We start from the raw sequence: 22,103 nt of genomic DNA, 5'->3' as shown, positions 1-22,103 counted from the left end.
ATTATATCATATATAAAATAATATATATATTATATATTATATTAAGTATATATTATATTAATAATGTAGTTCTATATTTTTATATATTGTATATTAATCATTACAGTTAATTATATTGTATACAATATAATTATATTGCATACAATTATATTGTGTACAATATCATTATATAGAATACAATTATTTATATTGTGTACAATATCATTATATAGAATACAATTATTTTTATTGTGTACAATATAATTATATTGCATACAATTATTTATATTGTATGCAATATATACATATATTAATTATATATATATTAACAAGTGTGAAAGTCTTATACTTTGCCTCAGAAATGGCCTTGCCAGCACAATATTTCCCTTCTTGCATCTTTAGTTTGATGTGTTGTTGTTTTATTTCCTCATAAAGCAAATGAAAAAGAGGGATTGGGGATCTGCTAAACCAGATGTTAGCACTTTTTAAATTTAGAGTGTGGTGGTCACAAGAAAACACAACTGGGCCTTGAGACGGCATGGAAAATTCTAGAAATGTGTCATTTCACAGCATCTGTGCAGAAACTGCTTCTGTGCCAGCATGTTACATTTGAAACCACATTTTGTGTGTGTTCAACTTTTACACAGATCTCGAGAAAAGTGAAATTGAATTTTATGCATCTGTAATTTGATTTCAGTCCATGACCAGGCCATTTCTTTATAATAATTATAAGAATGTATCCAATATATGACTTTCATCTTCTGGTAATTACAACAATTTACCATTTATAGAACACATAGTTTAAGACACCATAAGTAACATTTCATGCTAATTGCTTTTCTGAAAATAAAGGGCTCTGTTGTACACATCCAAGAACAATGGTAGGAGAAAAGAAAATTGATTGATACATCACATCAAAGAGGAGATCAAAATGAAGTCATCCAATATATGCCAAAGGCTCTCATAAATTACAAATTTTGAACTCACTCCAAACTTTATTTTTAGGCAAATACAGTATCTTCAAGTCTCATTATGAAAGTTACTTCAAAGATGATTTGATGTGACAGTATTTTTCCCAAGGCTTTGCCTGTTTTCTATTCCTAAGGCTTCCCATGCGAGCAGGGATTCCTGGGGCCCAAGCTCAAGCAACCAACTTATACTTTGAATTTGAACTCAAAGGACAAGAAGCCCATTTTTGTGATGTGCTTCCCCATTTCCTTCTTTTGAGCCTAATTGAAGAATTAAAAGTTGTCTTCATTTCTAAAGTTATATGCCGAACACAAAGGGGGGTTTCAACAGCTGCTTCTTGTCATGCTGTGGGAAAAAAATAACATCTCATCTGAAAAATACCTCCAGGTTCTCCAGATAGTTCTTGCTTTTCTCACTCACATTTTTCTCTTTACATGAACAGATTTGGCTCCTCTTCTTCTTTTGTAGGTAGTATCCATTCAGTAAGATATTTTTCAGATATTGAGAGTAATACATTGTTCATTAGAAAACAAAGTTAAACATCCATAAAATACTAAAAAGAAAATAAAGATCACCTGCAGTGTCACAACCCAAAGTGTATCATTTTGCTTTAGTTTCTTACACTGTTTGTTTGCTTGCATTCATTCTTTCTTTCACTCGTTGCATATTTACTGAGCACCTACTATGTGCCTTGCATTGTGGTAAGATACAAATTGTGATCCTAATTTTCTTTATAATAATTAGGTTTATAATTGTTGGCATAGTCCATGCCTCCTCTCCTAGACTTTAGTGTCTGGGACCATCTTACTCACCATACATCGTATTATGACCATTTACCAGGTCATTAAATATTATCTGAAAATAAAAAGTTTAATGGCTGCATAAGACTTCACTTTCAGCATCTACTAGAATTTACTATTTCCTTATTGATCATTTAAGATATTTTCTTTTTATTCTGCTATTTTTGATAATTATAATTAATTAATTCCATTTTGAACATCATTTGTAAGGGTATACACATTTTTATGGCTTGTGTTGTATTAGCCACACTGCCCACCAGAAGAGCCCTACTAATTTAAGCATTTACCGCAGTAGGTGAATATTTCTCAAATGAAGTTGAAGGAAGTTCCAAAATGGCAGACCCAAGGAACTGAAAGACTTACCCAATACATCCCTTTGCCTCCAAGGAGAGACAGAATGACCACTACCACCAGAGGGGAAGCCAGTTTGTTTAAGAGAATTGAAAAACACCAGGGAGAGCTCTCTCAATATAATAGTACTGGGATTTGGGGGCAAGAATAAGCAGTGGTGCAGGTTGTTTATTTACATACGTTTATAAATTATCTTTACAGGGCTAAGAGTGAACTGGATGAATGGTGTTGGCATAACCTCAGAGAGGCAATCCAAATTTTATTAATTCTCTGTTATGTGTCAGAGCTTGAGTTAGGTGCTATGAGTGATGCATGGATGAACTAAACACAGTTCTTGGCCTCCCAGAATGTTAAAATCCAGTAGCAGGGAAAAGTGTGTGCGAGCTGGAATTTGAATGACCTGGGTTCCAATTCTGATTCTTCTACCCATTATAGCAGTGACTTTGGAGAGGTTACCTGATGTCTCTGATCTTCTGTTTTCTCATGTGTAAAACAGGGTGAATAACAGAGTTCTTGTAAGAAGGAAATGAGATAATGTGTATAATGTTCTTAGGAGAGTGTGTGGCACATAACACTATAGCAGCACTCAGGAGATGATAACTACCATTGCTTTGGTAATGATGTTTCCTATCTTCCAAGGGTTTTGTGATGATTCAATGAAGTAACAAATGCAAAACACTTAGTGCTACTACAGTCTCAAATTAAGATGACGATCTGATGATAATGACAACCTTTTTGGTGAAGAACATATCACAAGCGAGTTGTACCAAACATAAATGAGTAACAAAAGGGTAGCTTGCCCCTTGTCTCAGAGAAAGTGAGTCTCGGCATGGGTTGCTGCAGAAGACAGTGTTGGCTCTCCACATCCTGTGACACCAAGACTTATTAAAACCAGACATTCAAAGCAATTGCAAGTTCTGATCTACACAACTGTTGGTCACTTCCGCTTTTGCGCCTACCTCATTTGAGGCACCTGGAGTGTGTTTTTTCTTGGTAGAACCGTGACAACATGCCTATTGCTGGCCTGGAATTGTCTACCAAGCCCAAAGCTTTTTAGCAGTGGGTGATATTTGTTTCTTGTGCCATCGCTGAATAATGACTTTTGTAGTCTGAAATTAAACAAGCATTCAAGGGCTCTAAGTGTCTGGCAAAAAAAGTTAGTGGCTGGAAAAGCTGCAGAGGATGTCTATGAAATGCAATTGATGAACACACTTTTCCCCCTGAGCTGCTTTCCTGTTAGGTGGTGGAAACTGGTCTATTTCGGTGATGTGTGCTGACTTCTTCCCTTCTGGAGCCCATGCATTGGGTGCCTCCAGGTTTCAAAAGAATGAGGACAAATTAACTGTTCTTCTAAAGTACTAATGCTGCAGGCCCTTCTGAAATAAAACCTTTGCAGAATGGAAAATATTATTGTCTTCTTGCTTTCAAAAGTTACTTGTTTACCTGTTGCTCATAAAATGCAGGATAATTTGTGGTTGGGAAAAGGTATTCTTTGCCTGATGGGTTTAATTTCAGCACCGTAGACTTCCCTGAAGATTACAAAGCTATTCTATTGCTACACATTTATAGAGCTCACCCCGAGGAAAGGGAATTAGTGTCTGGCATTACCTTCCTGCCTGCCAATTTTACCTCACTGATTCAACCTTTGAAACTGATTTAATCAATGGATCAGCACATTATTCAAAGGTGGAAATGTTATTACAGAGAAGCTTTCAGGAGGGTGGATGATTCGTACAGGCACTACACAGGACTTTTAATCACACCACATAAAAGAAGCAAATTTGAATGTTGCTTATGCCCAGAATTTTGATGAAAAGTAAAATTTTGATGAAACGTGAAAAGGAGTACTAGGAGAAGCCCATGGCTTGGATTTATGTTGGCAGACATTTCTTCTGAGAAAGAAAACTCAGTATGTTCTAATGTAAAGATCCACAAAATCCAAAAACCACACCAATGGGTAAGCCTATTGAAAGTAAGAGAGATGAGAGGTTGAACATGATAAGGAAGCTGAAAAGCCAAGCCTGTTCCCAATAGTCACTACACTCCAGTGGAAGAATTCTCAGTTTTTGTGCAGAGTCCTGCATTTTGCATAGCTCAGTTGCTGGACAAGTGAATGATCATTTTCCTCATCTGTCAAATGGGAATAGTAATACTTCTCAAGGTGTTTGTGAGGATCATCAGATACTAAGGATTTTACAGGTTTTTATTTTCCTTATATGATGTACACGTTCTTTACATTGAAAAAATTATTTCTCCAAACTAGAATCTTAAGTTCCATGGGTATGATGGGTCTGATAAAGTATTTGGCATCTCTTTTACTAGGTAGATCCCACTCACCCTGAGTTTTTTTTTTTTTTTTTTTTGAGACAGAGTCTCACTCTGTCACCCAGGCTGGAGTACAATGGCATGATCTTGGCTCACTGCAGCCTCCACCTCTGGGGTTCAAGTGATTCTCCCACCCTAGCCCCCGAGTAGCTGGGACTAAAGGTGTCCACCACCACACCTGGCTAATTTTTGTATTTTTAGTAGAGATGGGGTTTCACCATGTTGGCCAGGCTGGTCTCAAACTCCTGACCCCAAGTGATCTGCCTGCCTCAGCCTCCCAAAGTGCTGCCACCCTGAGATTTGACTTAATGGAGCCCATGGGAGATATAGATACCTTGGGTCATTAGCAAAACCTTCAACGTAAAGATGTATCAACTCTGAGAGACCCTGGCTAGGTCTACTAAGTTAAGTGGAAGCACCACAACATCATGGTTAAAAGGAAAGCCTTTGTGTTGAGCCAGGTGTTGTTTTGAATCTCAGCCCTCCTGCTTAGGAATTATGATCTTGGGCAAGTTACTTAACCTCTCTGTGGTTCAGGTTCATCATTCAAAAAGTAACAAGCATCATACTACCCACCTCAAAGGGGAGCAGAAATTAAATGAGATTAAGCATGCAAAGCATAGGAGCACCATGCCGAGCATAGAGGCACAATAAAGGGCAGTTGAGAGGAGTGGCGGCCTGGCAGGGTGGCTCATGCCTGCAATCTCAGCATTTTGGGAGGCCGAGGTGGGAGGATCACTTGGTTACTTTATCAAACCCACCATACCCATGGAACTTAGATTCTAGTTTGGAGAAATAATTTTTTTTCAATGTAAACAATGTGTACATCATATAAGGAAAATAAAAACAAGTAAAATCCTTAGTATCTGATGATCCTCGCAAACACCTTGGAAATTATTACTATTCCCATTTGACAGTGATCACTTGATCACTTCAAGACCAGCTTGGGCAAAACAGCGAGACCTCTTCACTACTAAAAATTTAAAAAATCACTGGGCATGGTGATGTGCGCCTGTAGTCCCAGCTACTCAGGATGCTGAGGTGGGAGGATTGCTTGAGCACTGGAAGTCGAGGCTACAGTGAGCTGTGATTACGCCACTGCACTCCAGCCTGGGTGACAGAGCGAGACCTTGTCTCAAAAAGAGAAAAGGGAGAGGAGTAGCAGGATTGACAGCAGCGGTGGCGTTGCCCCTTGAGGATGGAAGGTCTCAGTCATCTTGAAGTCTGCTGGAGCATTAGTTCCATTGAACCTCTCTTTGAGGGAGACTATGTTCTTTGTCCTTGGCCTTTTTTGCCTACCTAGAACTGGCTGATCTTGCATGGACTGCTATAGAAGTCCTTTGTAATCAGGTCGTTGAGGTCAGATAATCGAGTTCCAATCCAAGCTCTGTCATTTGCCAGCTGTGTGACACTGGGCAAGTTGAGTTACTCAACCTCGCAGAGCCCCTTGTTCTCAGCTGCAAAATGATAATACAATAATTATTTGCTGCATAGGGTTATTGAGAGAATGAAATAGGATAATCCATGTAAAAGTACCTCAACCATTCACTGGAACATGGTAAGTGCCTAATAAAGATATCTTCTGAGTATGGAAGCAAGACTTCATTACATGTGGTATTGATTTACAATTGAGTGCATTTCATGATATTAAAATTAGGTGAGAATTGGTGGTATGAAAATGCAACCACATCACCACAGGCCTCACACCCATGCTTCCTGTGCAGTCTGTGGAACTGTGCATCAATTAAACCTCTCTTCTTCATAAATTACCCAGTCTCACGTATGTCTTTATAGCAGTGTGAGTACAGACTAATATACCTGGAAAAGTTGAGTGCTCTAGGTCAACTGGCCTGTTTAGTGGCAGGGCTAGGATTAGACTGTCAGGACCCCAAGATTCCACTTTGTGACATTGTCCTCCAGAGCCATTGCCTTCGCATACTGATTCACCTTCCTTTCTATAGTTTCTGCCCTCCATTTAACCACTTCTTTTGTTCCCCTCAAATCCCAGATGGCCAGCCTTTTAGGCCTGCCTTTCTTAGATATGATATCAATCATATCATTTCAAAATATAAAATGAATTTGTTATTTTAGTTAGTTAAATTAATGGTGAAAGATTCATTTACCAATAATTTTGACTGCTCTTCATTTGTTCTGGGATCCCTGTAGTAATATTCTAGCTTTCTCCATGCAAGTGAATGCTGTACTACAGTGATTTTCAAACATTAGTTGAATTAGTTTCACCTTGGGGTCTGGTTGAAAATACAAATTCCTGTGCCCCATATAACAGGATTCTGGTTCCTGAGTCTGGGCCGAGGCTCAGAATCTGCACTTTTAACAGGCTTTGCCACGTGAGTCTAAGGCTAGTGGTATATGCAGCCCACACCTTTAGAAAACTGCTTGGCTTTGAGTCAGACTGCCTGGCTTGAAATCCAGGCTCTGCCATTGACTAGCTGGAAGTCCTTGGGCCTTGGTTTCCTAAACTTAAAAAGGAGAATAATACATACTAGTCCATGTAAGGTTGCTATGATGATTACATGAGATAATAAATGTGGAGCACTTAGTATTGTGCTGAACCTACAGTTGGCACTCAAGAAATGTTAAGTAATATTATTTTAAAATCTAGGGCCGGGTGCAGTGGCTCATGCCTCTAATCCCAGCACTTTGGGAGGCCAAGGCGGGAGGATTGCTTGAGCCCAGGAGTTGAAGACCAGCCTGGGCAACAATATGAGACCGTGTCTTTACAAAAAACATTAGCTGGGCATGGTGGTGCATGCCCGTGGTGCCAGCTACTCGGGAGACTGAGGTGGGAGGATCACTTGAGCCCAGGAGGTTGAGGCTTCAGCAAGATATGTTCATACCACTGCACTCCAGTCTGGGAGACAGTGCAAGACCATGTGTCAAAAAAATAAAAATAAAAAATAGAAATAAATCTATTGAAACACACACACACACACATGCACACACACAAAGTCTACAATGTGTTTTTCTGGTTATTAAATGGTAATTAGTGTTAACAGAAGATTCTCCTTGCATTAACACACGTGTGTCTCCACACGCATTCTTTAAAGCTTAGTGCTAATGTTCTCTTGTCCTTGAGGTGTTTGTGATCTTCCTCTTCACTGGAATAATTGTTCATTTTATATCTCTCCCACTTGTGCCTCCCATAGAAGGCATTTTGTTCTGCAACAAATTCTAGTGAGAATTTTGCATCTCTCTCTTCCAGGCTTGCAAGCTGCTGAAGGACAGGGGAGCAGTTGTAGCCATCCTGCACCCCAACTCATACACCGTGGCCCAGGTCTTACCCAGTGCTTAGCACTCTGTAGTACTTAAAACCACACTTGCTATATTCACCTGAAGTTCTGGAAGTGAGAAGCCTCAAATGAAATACTCAAGACCAGAATCTCTTTACTCTTTCTGGTCTGAGCAAGTGGGAGGTGAGAGAATAAAACTGGGAAGTGTTGGATCTTCTCTGGCTTGTTTGTTCTGCAGTACGATTGGGAGAAAATGTCCAAAAATGTAGAATTGAGAAGAACACCCCCAAAACCACCCCAGCAATTACTGTTGTTTTAAAAAATCGTAACCAGATGGAAGACATTTCCTGAAATCACACCTTTGTTTCTTGGAGAAAGAAAAAGCCCATTCCTGTGAGTGGGTGTTCATTAACTTGGTAAGTAGGGAAGATTGAGCTTGGCCTGGAAGGAGGTGGATTTTTGCAGGGGCACTCAACAGACAATTAAATAAGGAGGGGCATTTCCCATCAGAACACATGAAACAAGAGGCTGGTTGAATTTTCTGCAACTGTCTGCTTGAAGGTTTATATTCAATGGGTGTCACCACAACTTACACCTCATAGAACAGGGATTTGGTCCCCAAGAGATGTAATGCAAATGTCACATCATAAACTCCCAGACTGCCAATACTGAAGGGATTTTAGGAATCGTCTAGAATAAGAAGTACAGACCACCCACCATTGTTTTGTTAGTGTTACCAAAATGTCAATGGTTGTTCAAATGCCTTTAGTTGCTGTTTTACTGCATATTTTCTGATTCCAAAATGATTAGTATTTCTTGGATTTATACTCTGGCTCTGCCACTGACTGGCTGTGTGACCTTGGGCATGTCAGTTGCCCTTTTGGGACTTCATTTCCTTTTATAAAAGGAGCAAACTAGGTTGAAAGATCTTAAGGTTCTTTTTAGCTCTAAATATGGGAGAGTCTCCCAGAAATAGAAATGCACCACTCCTTTTTTTGGAAAATTCATTCTTTCCTAATGTTGAAATGCTGGCAGTCCAGTGAGTCAGGTAACCATGTTACAAGAATTGTCTCACAAATTCTGTAAGGAGGTAGGGAACAAAGATACATTCTGATGTATGTTTCTTCTATTAAATCTATTTTGGTATTCCAAGTGACATTTGTTCTTGCACAGCTTATGCTTCACACCAACATGCTATCTGTCAGGGCACACACTGATTAAGACCTATTCTGAGAAAACATATTCTCTGTGATTGAAATCCAAACGTATTGATTGTTTTATTTCCATCAGGAGAGATTGCTTTCTATTTGGTGATGGATGACAACTCTTCACACCTCTCTGTCTGCCAGCTGGACAGAGGATGACACAAGCAGCCTCTAAGTCTTGTGTGGGCTGAGCCATTAGCTATGACAGGCAGCTCCAAGCCCTCAGTCACTTCGCCATGGCCCTAGCATCGTCAAGTGAGCAAGATTAGACATGTCACAGTTGCAAGATGATGCCTAAAACTGATGGCTTGGTGAAAAGAACCTTTAAAAATGACAAGGCCATCTTAAAAGCTCCTGAACAGGGTGGGACATGGAGGGGTTTGAGAGCAGAGCCCAGCTCGGTGCAGAGAGAACATCTCGAGTCTGCACTGTCTGCTGTTTCTCCGTACCACGGTGTGCTAGCAGGAAAGCCTTCAAAGGATTAAAACCCAAGTATTTATGAGCTAAACATAATGTTTCCCTCTCTCTGGGAATGCCCAGTGAGAATACCACTTACATCTGCACAGAATGATTGCATTTCGCAAAGTACTTTCACATGCGTTAGCTCATTAAATTCTTAAAACTTTTACTCGTGGGAAATAGATAGACACTACATTTTTACCATGTTACAAATGAGTAACTAGGTATGCCCTTTAATCTCTGATCCCTGACCCCACAAGCCACTCTTCAAGGCTTGAACCCATGGCTTCTAGTCCGGTCTTTCCATCATCCTGAGGTGCTCAGTTATTCGAGCCTGTAGCTAATGACTGCAGGACACATAATCATAGCAACTCACATTTATTGAACTCTTACTATGTCCCAGACACTTCACATAATTTTAATTTAATCTTCACAACAACCTAGTGAGGATCATATCATTATTGTCATCGGCATTTTACAGAGGAGGAAAATGACATTCAGAGAGGTTAAGAAACTTACCCAGGGTCACATGATAGTAAGTGACAGAGTTAAGACTGAAGCTGAGTCAATTGAAAAGTAGAAAAATTCTTAACCATGATGCTCTGTTGCTGGCAACTCCCTGTCCCTTACCCTTTCCAAAAACATTAAGAATAGGAAAAAAAAGAAGAGTGAGTTTTCCCTCTTGGGCTATGCTAGCAACAGAGGCCCAAGGGGAAATGCTGTTTTAAGCCAACCTCTTGGAAAGGGTCATTAGCAGCTGACATGATGCCAATATGGACCAATATGTCTGAAAGCTTGTTTCTGGGTCTTTTGTGGTCTCTGCCATTCTTGTCCCTGTCCCTGGCCTCCACATTCCTTTCCCTCTGGATCCTCAGTAACATTGTCATCCTACTTTGGACATGCACCACTCTCCATTTTAGGTGAGATATGTAGGGTTATTGTAAATAAATATTTCAGAATCAGTATTATTTATTCCCCACCTATTTCTGAAAAGGATCTGAATAAAATCTGTCTATTAAGTAATTTGAAGTTTACAAAAAGATCTGAAACCTTGTGGAAGAAAGTCAAGGGAGAAGAAGACATGAACAATGGTTCTATCAAGAACTTGGGGTGGAAGTCATCTCACACATTTCATAAGCACTGTGAACCTGGCCCTGGGATTGCCACTAAAAATACAGAGCTGAGTAAAACATGGCTCCTGCCCTCAAAGAGCTCAATATCTAGTAGCATTAGAATTACTGAATTTGAACATTCAATTTGACTTTGAGTTCAAACCAAGACAATAAGTGAAACATGATGGATTATCTAGTACTCATCTGATAAATGGAGTAGTGTCTGTTCTTCAGAAGACACAAGCTGCTTATAATGCTGAATAATAATGATGAATTATTTCATATCAGTAATAGCTAATATTCTTTGAGAGCTCATCATGCGCCAGCTATTGCACTAAGCAATAGCTGCATTATCCCATTTGCATGCATTATCCCATTTAATCCTCACAAATGTCTTCATGATGTATGCATATAATTACCCCCATTGTACAGATGAAGTAATTAGGGTAAGGAGGAATTACCTTGTGGATCCATAAGTAATACAAGGGGTGAAAACTTCAATGGAGTTTTTACAGAAGATTCAGACCCGTATTTCATAAGGCCAGTGCACACATTTCTCGGCCATTTCTGTCTTCCCTGTCACTCTACGGGAAGTGGCTATGAATATACTGTCTCCAAAGGCTGTGACTGTAGCCATTGTGCTTCGGTATTGCCATTTGGGACCTAACGGTTCAGAAGATGTAATAACTCTCCTTGCATGGACCAATTACAGAAAAACTCCCTTTGTAAAGCAACAGCATGAGCCAGAACAGGCACTTCATTATCTGCCTCTGCCCACAGGGAAGTAGAGACGCTGGCGAGAGGATGATTGACCTGGGAAATGGCAGGGCTTGGGATCCATGCTTTCAGGGTCAAAGGCCTTCGTGCCCACTTCCAGGATTGGCTTCTCAGGATGCCCTGGTGCTGGCTCGCCCCCTGCTGGGGTGGGCTCCTGGGGTTTCTCTCTCAGTGGGATCCCATTGGCAGTCTCTCCCCTCCCACAGCAGCAGGCCCATTGACTTCTGGGCACTCACTTCCCAGGACCCTTTTCAGTCCCTGAGAATCAGAAGTTCTTTTCACTCTGAGAGTTTGCAGACGGTGTTGCACCAAGAATGGATGTACTTTGCCTGTAGAGGGCTTTAATCTAGTGAATTGTGCTCAGACAGATAAAGGGTAATTTTGCTTCATTTTCTGTACCTTTCTGAAAGTTTCCAGGGTCAGTTAGCCAGGTCTCTGCAGGCTTCTCAGCTCCAAAGCAGAGGCAAAAGTCTTTTTCCACCATTTATTCCTTGCATATATGGAAGATTCTTAGGCAAAAAGTGATTTTTTTTCACCCATATCTTATCCCAGAAAACAATGCCCTCTTTTTAGTTAAACTGAATGACTACAAATCATATCACCCCAAATTGAGTAATTGCAAGTCTTGTTAGTTATCAAGGTTTTATTGAGCCTTATTTCAGTTGCTTACATATGTTTTTGTTTTTAAAGAAAAAAAAAGTGTAACGCCTTTGGCCCGGGCCTCAAATTCCTTTTTTTCCCTCAGGCAAGCACGCTTACAAGTGAGGGATTCCCAGCCTACAAGGGTGAGTTATGTGTGTTGAGAGCAGAGTGGAAAGGTGGGCATTTACTCGCCCTGCCCCCTCCACTGAACTCGAAGTGCTCATTCTCTCCCATGCCTGTGTCCTCTCTCTCTTCACACATGGTCATGTATACACACAGTTGTACATGCACACTTTCTCCTTGCTAAAACTTTTCTTTGCTCTGAGTAGATGCAGTCCGTTCTCACACTGCTACAAAGAAATAGCCGAGACTGGATAATCTATAAAGGGAAGAAGTTTAATTGACTCACAGTTTCGCAGGGCTGAAGAGGCCTCAGGAAACTTACAATTATGGTGGAAGGGGAAGCAAATATGTCCTTCTTCACATGGTGGCAGGAAGGAGAAGAATGAGCAAAAGGGGAAAAGTTCCTTATAAAAACATCAGATGTCGTGAGAACTCACTGTCACAAGAACAGCATGGGGGTAACCGCCTCCATGATTCAATTACCTCCCACCAAGTCCCTCCCATGACACATGGGGATTATAGGAACTGCAACTCAAGATGAGATTTTGGTGGGGACACAGCCAAACCATATCATCTACTCTCTCCCTGGCCTCACCCCACATTACTGCTCTGGTGGCCAATGCTGTAGTCACGAATTCTGCCTTTTCTCATGTCTGCCATTTCAAGGAGCTCACCCCACTCACCTCAAAAACCGAGCTTTTATAGACGCAGAAAACTCTTCCTCCTATATGCACACTGATTGATCACCTACACATGCCATCAAGAGCATGTACTCTGGAATTAGATAGTAGTGAGTTGGAGCCATGTCTTTACTTATTAGCCATGTGACCTTGAGGATACTACTTAACTTCTCTGAGCCTCTACTTCCTCAGTGAATCATAAATAGAACCTACCTCATAGGATTGTTGTGTGGGGATTCAGTGAAATAGGGCATGTAATTTAGTACAGTGCCTGGCCCATGTGATCAATAAATGTTTGCTATTATCATTAAGCGTGGTGATCTTAGCTGATTGTATTGTTGTTGTTGTTGTTGCTGTTGAAGATTTTGCATCTTCTAGGTTATGTTTCTTTGCTGCTCAGGAGGCAGAACAAGTTTCTCCATTGCCAAATTGTTTGCTTTTTTTTATTGGGGTGAAATTCACATAACATAACATTCACTATTTAAAATTATACTATTCAGTGGCATTTAGTGACACTCATTATGTTGTGAAATTATCACCACTATCTAGTTTCAAAACATTTTCAGCACCCCAAAATGAGACCCGTATGCATTAAACAATCACTCCCCATCACCCCCACCTACCAAATCTTTTTTTAATGTTGCTTTCAGATCATATGCCATTCCATAAATCTGAGAAGTTCAGGAAGGCTAGATAGTGAGCTTTTTTCCAAAAATCAATCAGAAACATATTCCTAAATAAAAGAAATATACTCTGATATTCTGGGACTGCCTTATCAGAGAGTGAAGTGAAAAATCAGAAGTGATATAGTCTCATTCAGGCCAACACAGAAATTACTCCTTTAATACTTATTGCCCATATTTCACATTATTTTCTTTGCCTGGTAGCTGAGAGAGAAAAGGAGCTTGAAACTTTGAGTAAGGGGAGGGAAAGATTTTCTAAACCCCCTATAAACAAATGATGGTAAAGCCTAGGAAGAGGTTAGCAGGTCAGCCTCTTTGCATTTAATTTCCATCTTGCCACATTCCAAGGAAGGAATTTTAGTCTTGGGAGGCACCAAATAACCCTCAGGGGAAATGTGACCCTTTGAAGCTCCTGGTTGTCTATTTCTGCAGCTGCCCATCTACTCACACCACCCAGGTTGGAGGGGCCCAGCTCTTCAGCACTCAAATACAGTGGAGCTGGCCACTTCTTTGCACGGGGATGGTTTATAGGCTTTCTATATCAGGCTGTGTGCAGACGAGACAGGCTTGATGAGTCAGCTGAAAAGGGGAAAGGAGGGGAACTCCAGTTGGCTTGATGCTCAAGTGAGAAGTGGGAAGAAGGACCAACAGTTAAGAGGACTCGGTGAAAATACTACGGGATTTGGCAAATGTATGTGAAGGCTTTTGTAGGTCAGCCAGTTTGCCCTTGGAGCTGTGGGCCTGCCTGAGAAGGCTTTTGTTGGCCTTGGGAGCTGAAAGGGAGACCCTTTCTTTAGGCTCTGCAGGCTACTTGGCAATCAATGTTGAGGCAGGTTTTCTGCTTCTGTGGGGTGCAAAGCTTTGGTCAATGTCATCAAGAGCATCCTCTTCTTAGGAAACCATGACCTTGCCTTGGGCAACTTTTCTGTAGCCTTTAAGACCAGAAAAGTGAGTAGAGAAGACTAACGTAATTGGACAAACCTTGCTTTGATGGGTGGTGATTGGGACTCTCATATGAATTCCAGAAGGAAATATATGAAGAGTGTCTGTAACTTGAATGTGCTTCCTCTGTTGGGTCTTGCATTAAATCACTGATCTGCACACTTTAGCCTGCAGCAGAATCACCTGGCGAGGAGGTGCCTGTTGAAAAAGATAAGAAGTTTCATTCAGAAAAGATGACCCTGAAGTAAGTCTTCTCACTCATTTCTATTTATTCACAGTTCCTACTTTACTAAGAAAGTTTTTAATTATTGGCCATTATCCGTGACTGAAAATACATTAAGTAAAGTTGCAGGATGAGTTTTAACATTTATGAGTTAACTTCATCCACATCAGTAAATTTGACAAGTATTTTTGAAGACCCATCTTTGGGTTTTATTAAATAGAAATTTCTGAAAGTTGTATGCCCAAGGGTATTTTGTTTTTCTCATGTGTGTTCAAATTTGGGAAGAATGAATTTTGCCTCCTATTCACTCGGTAGGAGATTTAGTGTCTCCTTCTGAATTAGCCCTTTCTGTTCCTGAAGGAAAGTATTTATGAAAAATCAGACTCCATTCTGGAAACTGAATGATTTTTGTATTTTGCTGCAGTTAGATGGAGTCCTATAAATGAGCCCAAAACATGCTGGCTAAATCTCTCATAAAAGGCAAATATCACAAAGAGGAATGGCCCAAGTCTTATTTTGGCCCCTGGCCTGTGTTTGTCTAAAAAGACTTTTAGAAGTGTCACAAAACACTAAAGCACTGCCTAAATCATCCCTTCCTAACTTTTTGCTTATGGGGGTGCAAGGGAAGTTGCACGTGGTGGGTGGGGGTGCTGAGAGAGAGAGAGAGAGAACACAAAGGGCCAGCTCCCACTTGGAGCTCCCCTCGTTTCTCTCCATTTTGCTCTTCAGGATGTCCCCACCCCACTCTGCATTCTCACCACACCCACACATGAACCCAGCATCTGCCCAGGTGCCACGAATCATATTACAACTTTGCTCCCTGGCAGAGAGTGGCCAGAGAGAAGTTTCTGGAGGTGAGGAAGTGAGCCTGCCTGACTGCTTTGGTGGCAGAAACCAGGGGCTTAACCAGTGACTCTGTGCTCGAGGCTTGTTTGTGAAATCCTTTAGCAACTCTTCAGAAGCCTCTCCTCTCTGACTTCTCAGAGATGCTGGCTCTTCTACTTTGGGAAGTTCCTTTGCTAGTAACACATTTGAGGTGAGTTAAATGTCTTCCTCCTTCAGCCTCAGCTTCCTGTGCCTAAGGGTGAGTTAAGCAATTAGTCCTAAATAGCCCCAGCTGTTAGGGTTTCTCCAGAGGATGCTCCTTGTGACTTTGATTGCTTCTAATGAGGCTATTGGCTTTATCTGTAATAGACAATGTTAGATTACACATCTATGTCTTTTACAGCACCTTTTACCCCCAGGGCTTTACGTTTTCTGAGACCACTCTTGAGAACCTTGGATCCAGTGGCATTTTTCTTCTTGTGAATAAAAAATTATTATCTTTCCTGTTCTCCCTGTGAGATCAGCCTTGTTCTTGTTCTGCTCTGGGGTACTCTGTATTTAGGGAAATTACTCATGACTCTCGGGTACTGAAAAGACACACACACACACACACACACACACACACACACACCATGCACAGGGGAATGGGAGAGCAAGAACGTGTGAGAGAGAGCCACTTGAAGAGAGACAGGGAGAAAGAAAGAGAGTAGGAGAAAGCAATAAAGAAAGCGAGATCACAGTCAGGCCTGAGAAGGTGACAGCAAGCCAGTGTTTTAGAGGTAGGGAAAGAGCCCAAGATGGATGGAGAAAGCTCATGCAGGAGCAAGAGAGCACACATGGGAGTGCCAGCAACCTTGAAAAAAAGCACCAGTGACAGCAAAGGGAATCTATGAGGCCAGGAGGCTGGGCGAGCAAAAGCAAGAGAGTGCAAGAGATCAAGAAAGGGGGAAAGGAGGTGGGAGAGGGAGAGCGAGCCTTCAGGGCAAAGGAGTCAATGAGAGAGATCAGCACATTATTTGTGGGCAGATGAAGAGAAAGTCTAAATGAGGAGCTGCTTTCCCCTCATCTTGTTGAGTTGGTGGAAGAGGAAGAGAAGATGCACAGGGCACAGACTCCAGCTTTCATTAATCCAAAATGGAATTTCTGGGACATACATGCTCAGGATCAATGTCATCTTTAAAGACCCAGATTCCAATTAGAACCACAAGTACACCTCCCCATCCTTCAGTATTATTTGAAATTTTAGAACAACTGCCATTATTCTACACAAAGTAAAGGATGATCATTTTGGAGTATGTTTTTATCAAACCACCTCCCTATCCACAGACCTGTGTTAGACAGCTTACCTTAGTGGTTGCCAAACACCAGAAGTAGATCATTGTCATGATTTTGGAGGGCTGGGCCGAGGCCTGGAATTCTATGGCTTTAATACGTGGCTCCATTGGGAGATTCCATTGCCCAGGAAGACACTGGCCTTAAGCTACACCCTTTTTCAGAAAGCAGTAACAAATTCAGTTGGACCACTGACCTGAAGCCAGATTGCTTTCCAACAAGGCCCAAACTAAAGGGGGTACCAAAAAATCAGTAATCAACATAAATAACATTTTAATGATATGATTTTTTAAAAGAGAAGTTTCTACTTATGTTGCCCAGGCTGGAGTGCAGTGTCTATTCATAGGCGCGATCATGGAACTCTTGAGCTCAAGTGATCCTCCTGCCTTGGTTTCCTGAGTAGCTGTAATGATATGTTTTAAAGACTTAAAATTAATGTAGACAAATCCAAAATGAACAAATATCAAAATTTTAAATACAGTTTCCAACTCTGCCCTTGCACACCCCTGCCTCTCTTGACCCACCCTAACACCATCCTTGGTTCCAGTTAAACTTTATATACAGAATCAGGCAGCCATCCTGTGGGCCATATTTTCTTGACTTAAAAAAAAAAAACCATTGCCTTAAATATCATTTATTCAAGTAGAATCCAAATCTTGTTTGTTTTCTAATACTGTTTTTCAATAAAAGCAACCAGGGCTCCTTGGAGAAATGACCGATTCCAGGACTGAGGCAGAAAATACACAAGATAAGCCTGGAACATCTTGTATTGCCAGAAAGTAAGGAAGTGTTAACAAATACACAAACAAAAACAAAAAGCAGAACATCACAGGAGCCAACTAAAAGAGCTACCAACAGCCAAAGGTATAAAAACTTGAGAAAATATACTAGTATTATTGGACTATAACCCAAAGTATAAAATAAACATCCAAGAGTCCATACTGATATAATTAAATGGTTAAATAAATGGATGATAGACACATCTTTTGTGCAGGGTAATTCCAAATAATTTGTGTAGATTCTCTGCCCTCAAGGAGGTGGAGTGTAACTCCTCACTCCTTAAGTATGAACTGCGAATAGTGACTTCCTTGTAAAAGAGTATAGTATGGGCCAGGCATGGTGCCGCATGCCGGAAATCCCAGCACTTTAGGAGGTTGAGGCAGGAGGATTGCTTGAGACCAGGAGTTTGAGACCAGCCTGGGCAACATAGTGAGACTCCCTCTCTACAAAAAAATTAAAAATTAGCCAGGCATGGTGGCATGTGCCTGTAGTCCCAGCTACTCTTGAGGCTGACATGGGAGGATCACTTGGGCCTGGGAGGTTGAGGCTGCAGTGAGTCCTGATCATGCCACTGCACTCCAGCCTGGGCAGCAGAGCAAGATCCTGTCAAAAAAAAAGGGTGCAGGCCGGGTGTGGTGGCTCACATCTGTAATCCCAGCACTTTGGGAGGCCGAGGTGGGCAGATCATGAGGTCAGAGATCAAGACCATCCTGGCTAACATGGTGAAACCCAGTCTCTACTAAAAATATAAAAAAATTAGATGGGCGTGGTGGCAGGCACCTGTAGTCCCAGCTACTCAGGAGGCTGAGGCAGGAGAATGGCGTGAACCAGGGGGGCGGAGGTTGCAGTGAGTCAAGATTGCTCCACTGCACTCCAACCTGGGCGACAGAGCAAGACTCCGTTTCAAAAAAAAAAAAAAAAGTGCAGTATGGAAAGGGAAAGACAAGTATCCTTACCATGGATTAACCTGACAAATACTGCCTCAGCCAGGTGATCAATGTGAACATCACCAATCATAAATCATGCTGATTGTATGTGTCTTTGGATATGATGAGATGCGAATGGCACTTTATCTCTGTGGTCTTCTTCCCTATAATCCATAACCACAGCCTACTTATGAGAAAAACATCAGAAAAATTCCAATAGAATGGGATTCTACAAAATAGTTGACCAGTACTCCTCAAAATTATCAAGTCATCAAAATCCAGAAAAGTCTGAGAAATTGTCACAGCCAAGAGGAGCTCAAGGATATGTGACAACTAGATGTAATGTGGGATCCTGCAACCGAAAAAAGTAAAAACTAAGGAAATCTAAATAAAGCATAGACTTTAGTTAATAACAAATTGATATTAGCTCATTAATTGTGACAAAGGTACCTTATTAATCAAGAGATGTTTATGTGGGAAACTGGGTGTGGGGCTTATGGGAACTCATTGTACTATTTCACAATTTTTCTAGAAATCCAAAACTATTCTAAAATACAAAACATTCTTTGAAAAAGTATCTTGATGGCTGAATGTTTTGGTGCCCCCTTAAATTTTACACACAAGGTGAGCACCTTGCTTGCCTCACCTTCATCCTGGCCCTGCTGTCTGAGTGCAAAATACATTTGTAGCACTGGATTTCCTAGGAGACACCTGTTGTATTAGTCTGTTCTCATGCTGCTAATAAAGACATACCCGAAACTGGGTAATTTATAAAGTAAAGTGGTTTAATGAACTCACAGTTCCACATGGCTAGGGAGGTCTCACAGTCGTGGCAGAAGGCAAAGGAGAAGCAAAGTCACACCTTACATGGTGGCAGGCAAGAGAGCTTGTGCAGGGGAACTCCCATTTATAAAACCATCAGATCTCATGAGACTTATTCACTACCACGAGAACAGTATGGGGGGAACGGCCCCCATGAGTCAATTATCTCCACCTCTCCCCATGTTGACATGGGGGATTATTACAATCAAGGTGAGATTTGGGTGGGGACACAGCCAAACCCTATCACCTGTACACACTGCATTCTCTTTATTTGTATATAAATAAATCCATAGTATTCTTTCCTCCACAACCTTCTCCTTAGCATAAGCTGAATTACATTCCTTGGCTTCTGACAAGGAATGAATTTAGATGAAGCTCAGTGTGCACTTCCCAAAGTTGCAGTTGTACAGCCCTGTGAAGAGAAGAGGCAGTGGTTGGAAGCCTAAGCCACAGAAACAGAGTATAGTCCAAGAAAGGTTATAATGCTGTGCCCAGCAGCCAGAGCTTCTCCTGCAGCTGCTTTATTCCTGCCAAGCAAAGCCATGAGCTTCTCCTGCAGCTGATTTATTCCTGCCAAGCAAAGCCATCCTCGCAAAGAGCATTGGCCCCTCTGCTGCCTGGGCCTGCCTCTCAGATAGAGCTCTGGAAGCCTGGACCTTTGTCCTAGAAAATGACATGACTAAAGTGGGTTTTGTCTTTCCTGTTGCTCTCTTTCCTCCTTTCCCTCTTTTCACATCAATACCAATTAGAGAGGACAAGTGTTCAATCAAGACATAATGTCATAGGCACGGACTTCTCCTCACTGTCTTCCTCAGGGCGAAGAAGCTGCCAGCCTGGAGCAGAAAGCTGGGTAGAGACACTGCTTTAACTTTATTCCCTCAGGGAAAACTGCAGCCATGAAAGTACAACATTGAGCTGACTTGACTTGGCAGAAAGATGTGTTTTGCGAGGAATTGGGATCTGGGAGAAGGTGATTCTGATACTAACTCACAGAGCATACCATCCCATTTCTGATCAGCGTCTGCGTGAGAAGATCGTTCAAAGCTAGGCAGTCTGAGTCTCATTGGAAGAAGTGGCTAAATCTAAATCTGGTGTCAGTTCTTTTTTTTTTTTTTTTTTTGAGACGGAGTCTCACTATGTCACCCAGGCTGGAGTGCAGTGATGCAATCTTGGCTCATTGCAACCTCCGCCTCCCAGATTCAAGCAATTCTCCTGCTTCAGTCACCCAAGTAGTTGTGACCACAGATGTGCGCCACCACACCCGGCTAAATTTTGTGTTTTTAGTAGAGATGGGGATTCACCATGTTGGCCAGGCTGGTCTCGAACTCCTGACCTCAGGCGATCTGCCCACCTCGGCCTTCCAAAGTGCTGGGATTACAGGCATGAGCCACCATGCCAGGCCTGGTGTCAGTTCTTTAACAGTTCCACCACATGGGATTTAGCAGGGGAAATGCTGCAGAGTGAATGCCAGAGACTTTGTCCAGTTTCATGTATATGACCATTGGCTCTGGTTTCAGAGAGACTTGGGTTTGGGTCCCAGAATTTCTTAATTGTGTGACCTGGGCAAGTCATGTAGCCCCCACAGAGCCACAGTGTCTTTATCTATAAAATGAGGATGCTGGTAGAGTTGCTGTGAGATTAAAGGAGCTAATTCAAACACTCATCCCATTGCCTGGTGCAGGAAAGGTGCCTACTGGATGATAGCTCTCATCGTTGAAACTCTGAAGCTTGGGACTGGGGTAGGGGACACTTCCACTAGAGTACAGACCCAGGAATAACTCTGGAGACATGTTGCAGGAGGCCTGCCAGCTTTGTTGGAGTGTGTCCTTCGTGCTGGTTAATACATGGGAAATGGCTCAGGAACAATAGCTTGCTCTTGGGAGAATCCCGGAAGTGACAGTGTGAAAAATGATGGTTTTCCAAGGTGGTATTCCCTAGGGCTGAGATTTCTTGTCCTTCCTTTTCCATGCTCACAGGAAGAAGGGGAGGTATTTGGTCAAGAAAGGGTTTCCAGAAGAAAGTGGCTCAGAGTCTTGCTCCTCCTTCCTCCCCTGTCTGTAAATTCTTTGCATTTGGAATGTGTGATGACCCCTGTCTGGGCTTTGCACTCAGATCCCTGGGAGCTAGGAGCAGCCCTGAGAATGGGCAGCATCCTGCATCTGCCTTCCCAGGTGCAGTCCTGAGAATGTGCTGATGGAGTTTAGTTTTAATGACAATCATAACTCCAGAGGCCTGCTCTTTACTGTTTTTGATTGTGCAGCTGAAGACTAGATGACCTCATTGAAAAGTGGGAGACAGAAGCAGCTGTTGCCACAGGAAATAAGCCCCCCCGCCCCGCCCCACCTCAGGAGACACACTGCTTCTAAGAGTTCTTTGGAGTGGGGGTGGATCCAGAATGGCAGCTGTCCTCTACCCAGATCTTTCTTTGTGTACCCAGAGGTTGGGCTGAGCTGTGGGTGACTAGACTGTGGATTAAGAAACCATGAATAGCGTTTCCAGAACAAATTCTTGGCCTGTGAAATCTCCATTTAGCTTGCTCTACCAGGACCACATGTGTCTATGATTTGCCTCCTTTCTCTTTTTGGATTAGAGTCTGTGCCCTGCACCTCATCCCCTGGTTAAGCTACCATCCCTCCCACTGTCGGCTTGGAGCTGGTTTGCTATGCTGTCAAAGATCTGAGTAGCAACAGATCACGCAGCCTGGTGTTTGTGGCTTATTACATACTCCCCACCTTGGCTGAGTAAAACATCAAGAGAGATGTACTAAGCTTCCAAGCACAGGGGTGAATACTGAAGCCGAAGGCTTGGTGTACTAATGGTGTAATTTGAGGTCCCAGCTACAGGTTAGAGGTGGTGGGGATTTAGAGACAGGGGAATTTCCTGGGTATTTGTTAAAT

The 22,103-nt window shown here is 42.0% G+C and overlaps 1 protein-coding gene across 10 annotated transcripts in view, besides 2 other annotated features; it reads left to right on the top strand.

The window, feature by feature from the left end:
- The window catches only part of HS6ST2 (heparan sulfate 6-O-sulfotransferase 2), a 335,356-nt gene that overhangs the window by 188,573 nt on the left and 124,680 nt on the right, over nt 1-22,103 (top strand). Inside the window, exon 4 of one of the 10 annotated variants that reach the window (XM_047442620.1) lies at nt 14,466-17,919. The exons of the other annotated variants lie outside the window; for them this stretch is intronic. Coding sequence (XP_047298576.1) covers nt 14,466-14,535 — 70 coding nt within the window. The 3' untranslated portion in view covers nt 14,536-17,919. Of the gene's footprint in view, nt 1-14,465; nt 17,920-22,103 lie in introns of those variants that run through there. 10 annotated transcript variants of the gene reach the window in all.
- Nucleotides 20,628-21,209: an enhancer, noted in NCBI's record as "OCT4-NANOG-H3K27ac hESC enhancer chrX:131885617-131886198 (GRCh37/hg19 assembly coordinates)". NCBI's record gives its function as "activates a minimal SCP1, AML or CMV promoter by ChIP-STARR-seq in naive H9 embryonic stem cells {active_cell/tissue: H9 hESC(naive)}" and the evidence as "EXISTENCE:reporter gene assay evidence [ECO:0000049][PMID:30033119]".
- Nucleotides 21,210-21,791: an enhancer, noted in NCBI's record as "OCT4-NANOG-H3K27ac hESC enhancer chrX:131885035-131885616 (GRCh37/hg19 assembly coordinates)". NCBI's record gives its function as "activates a minimal SCP1, AML or CMV promoter by ChIP-STARR-seq in naive H9 embryonic stem cells {active_cell/tissue: H9 hESC(naive)}" and the evidence as "EXISTENCE:reporter gene assay evidence [ECO:0000049][PMID:30033119]".

Source organism: Homo sapiens, chromosome X (genome assembly GCF_000001405.40).
Source record: "Homo sapiens chromosome X, GRCh38.p14 Primary Assembly".
In the NCBI taxonomy this organism is placed as follows: domain Eukaryota; kingdom Metazoa; phylum Chordata; class Mammalia; order Primates; family Hominidae; genus Homo; species Homo sapiens.
The sequence above is the reverse complement of the archived record's forward strand: the minus strand, read 5'-3'. Positions and strand labels throughout refer to the sequence as shown.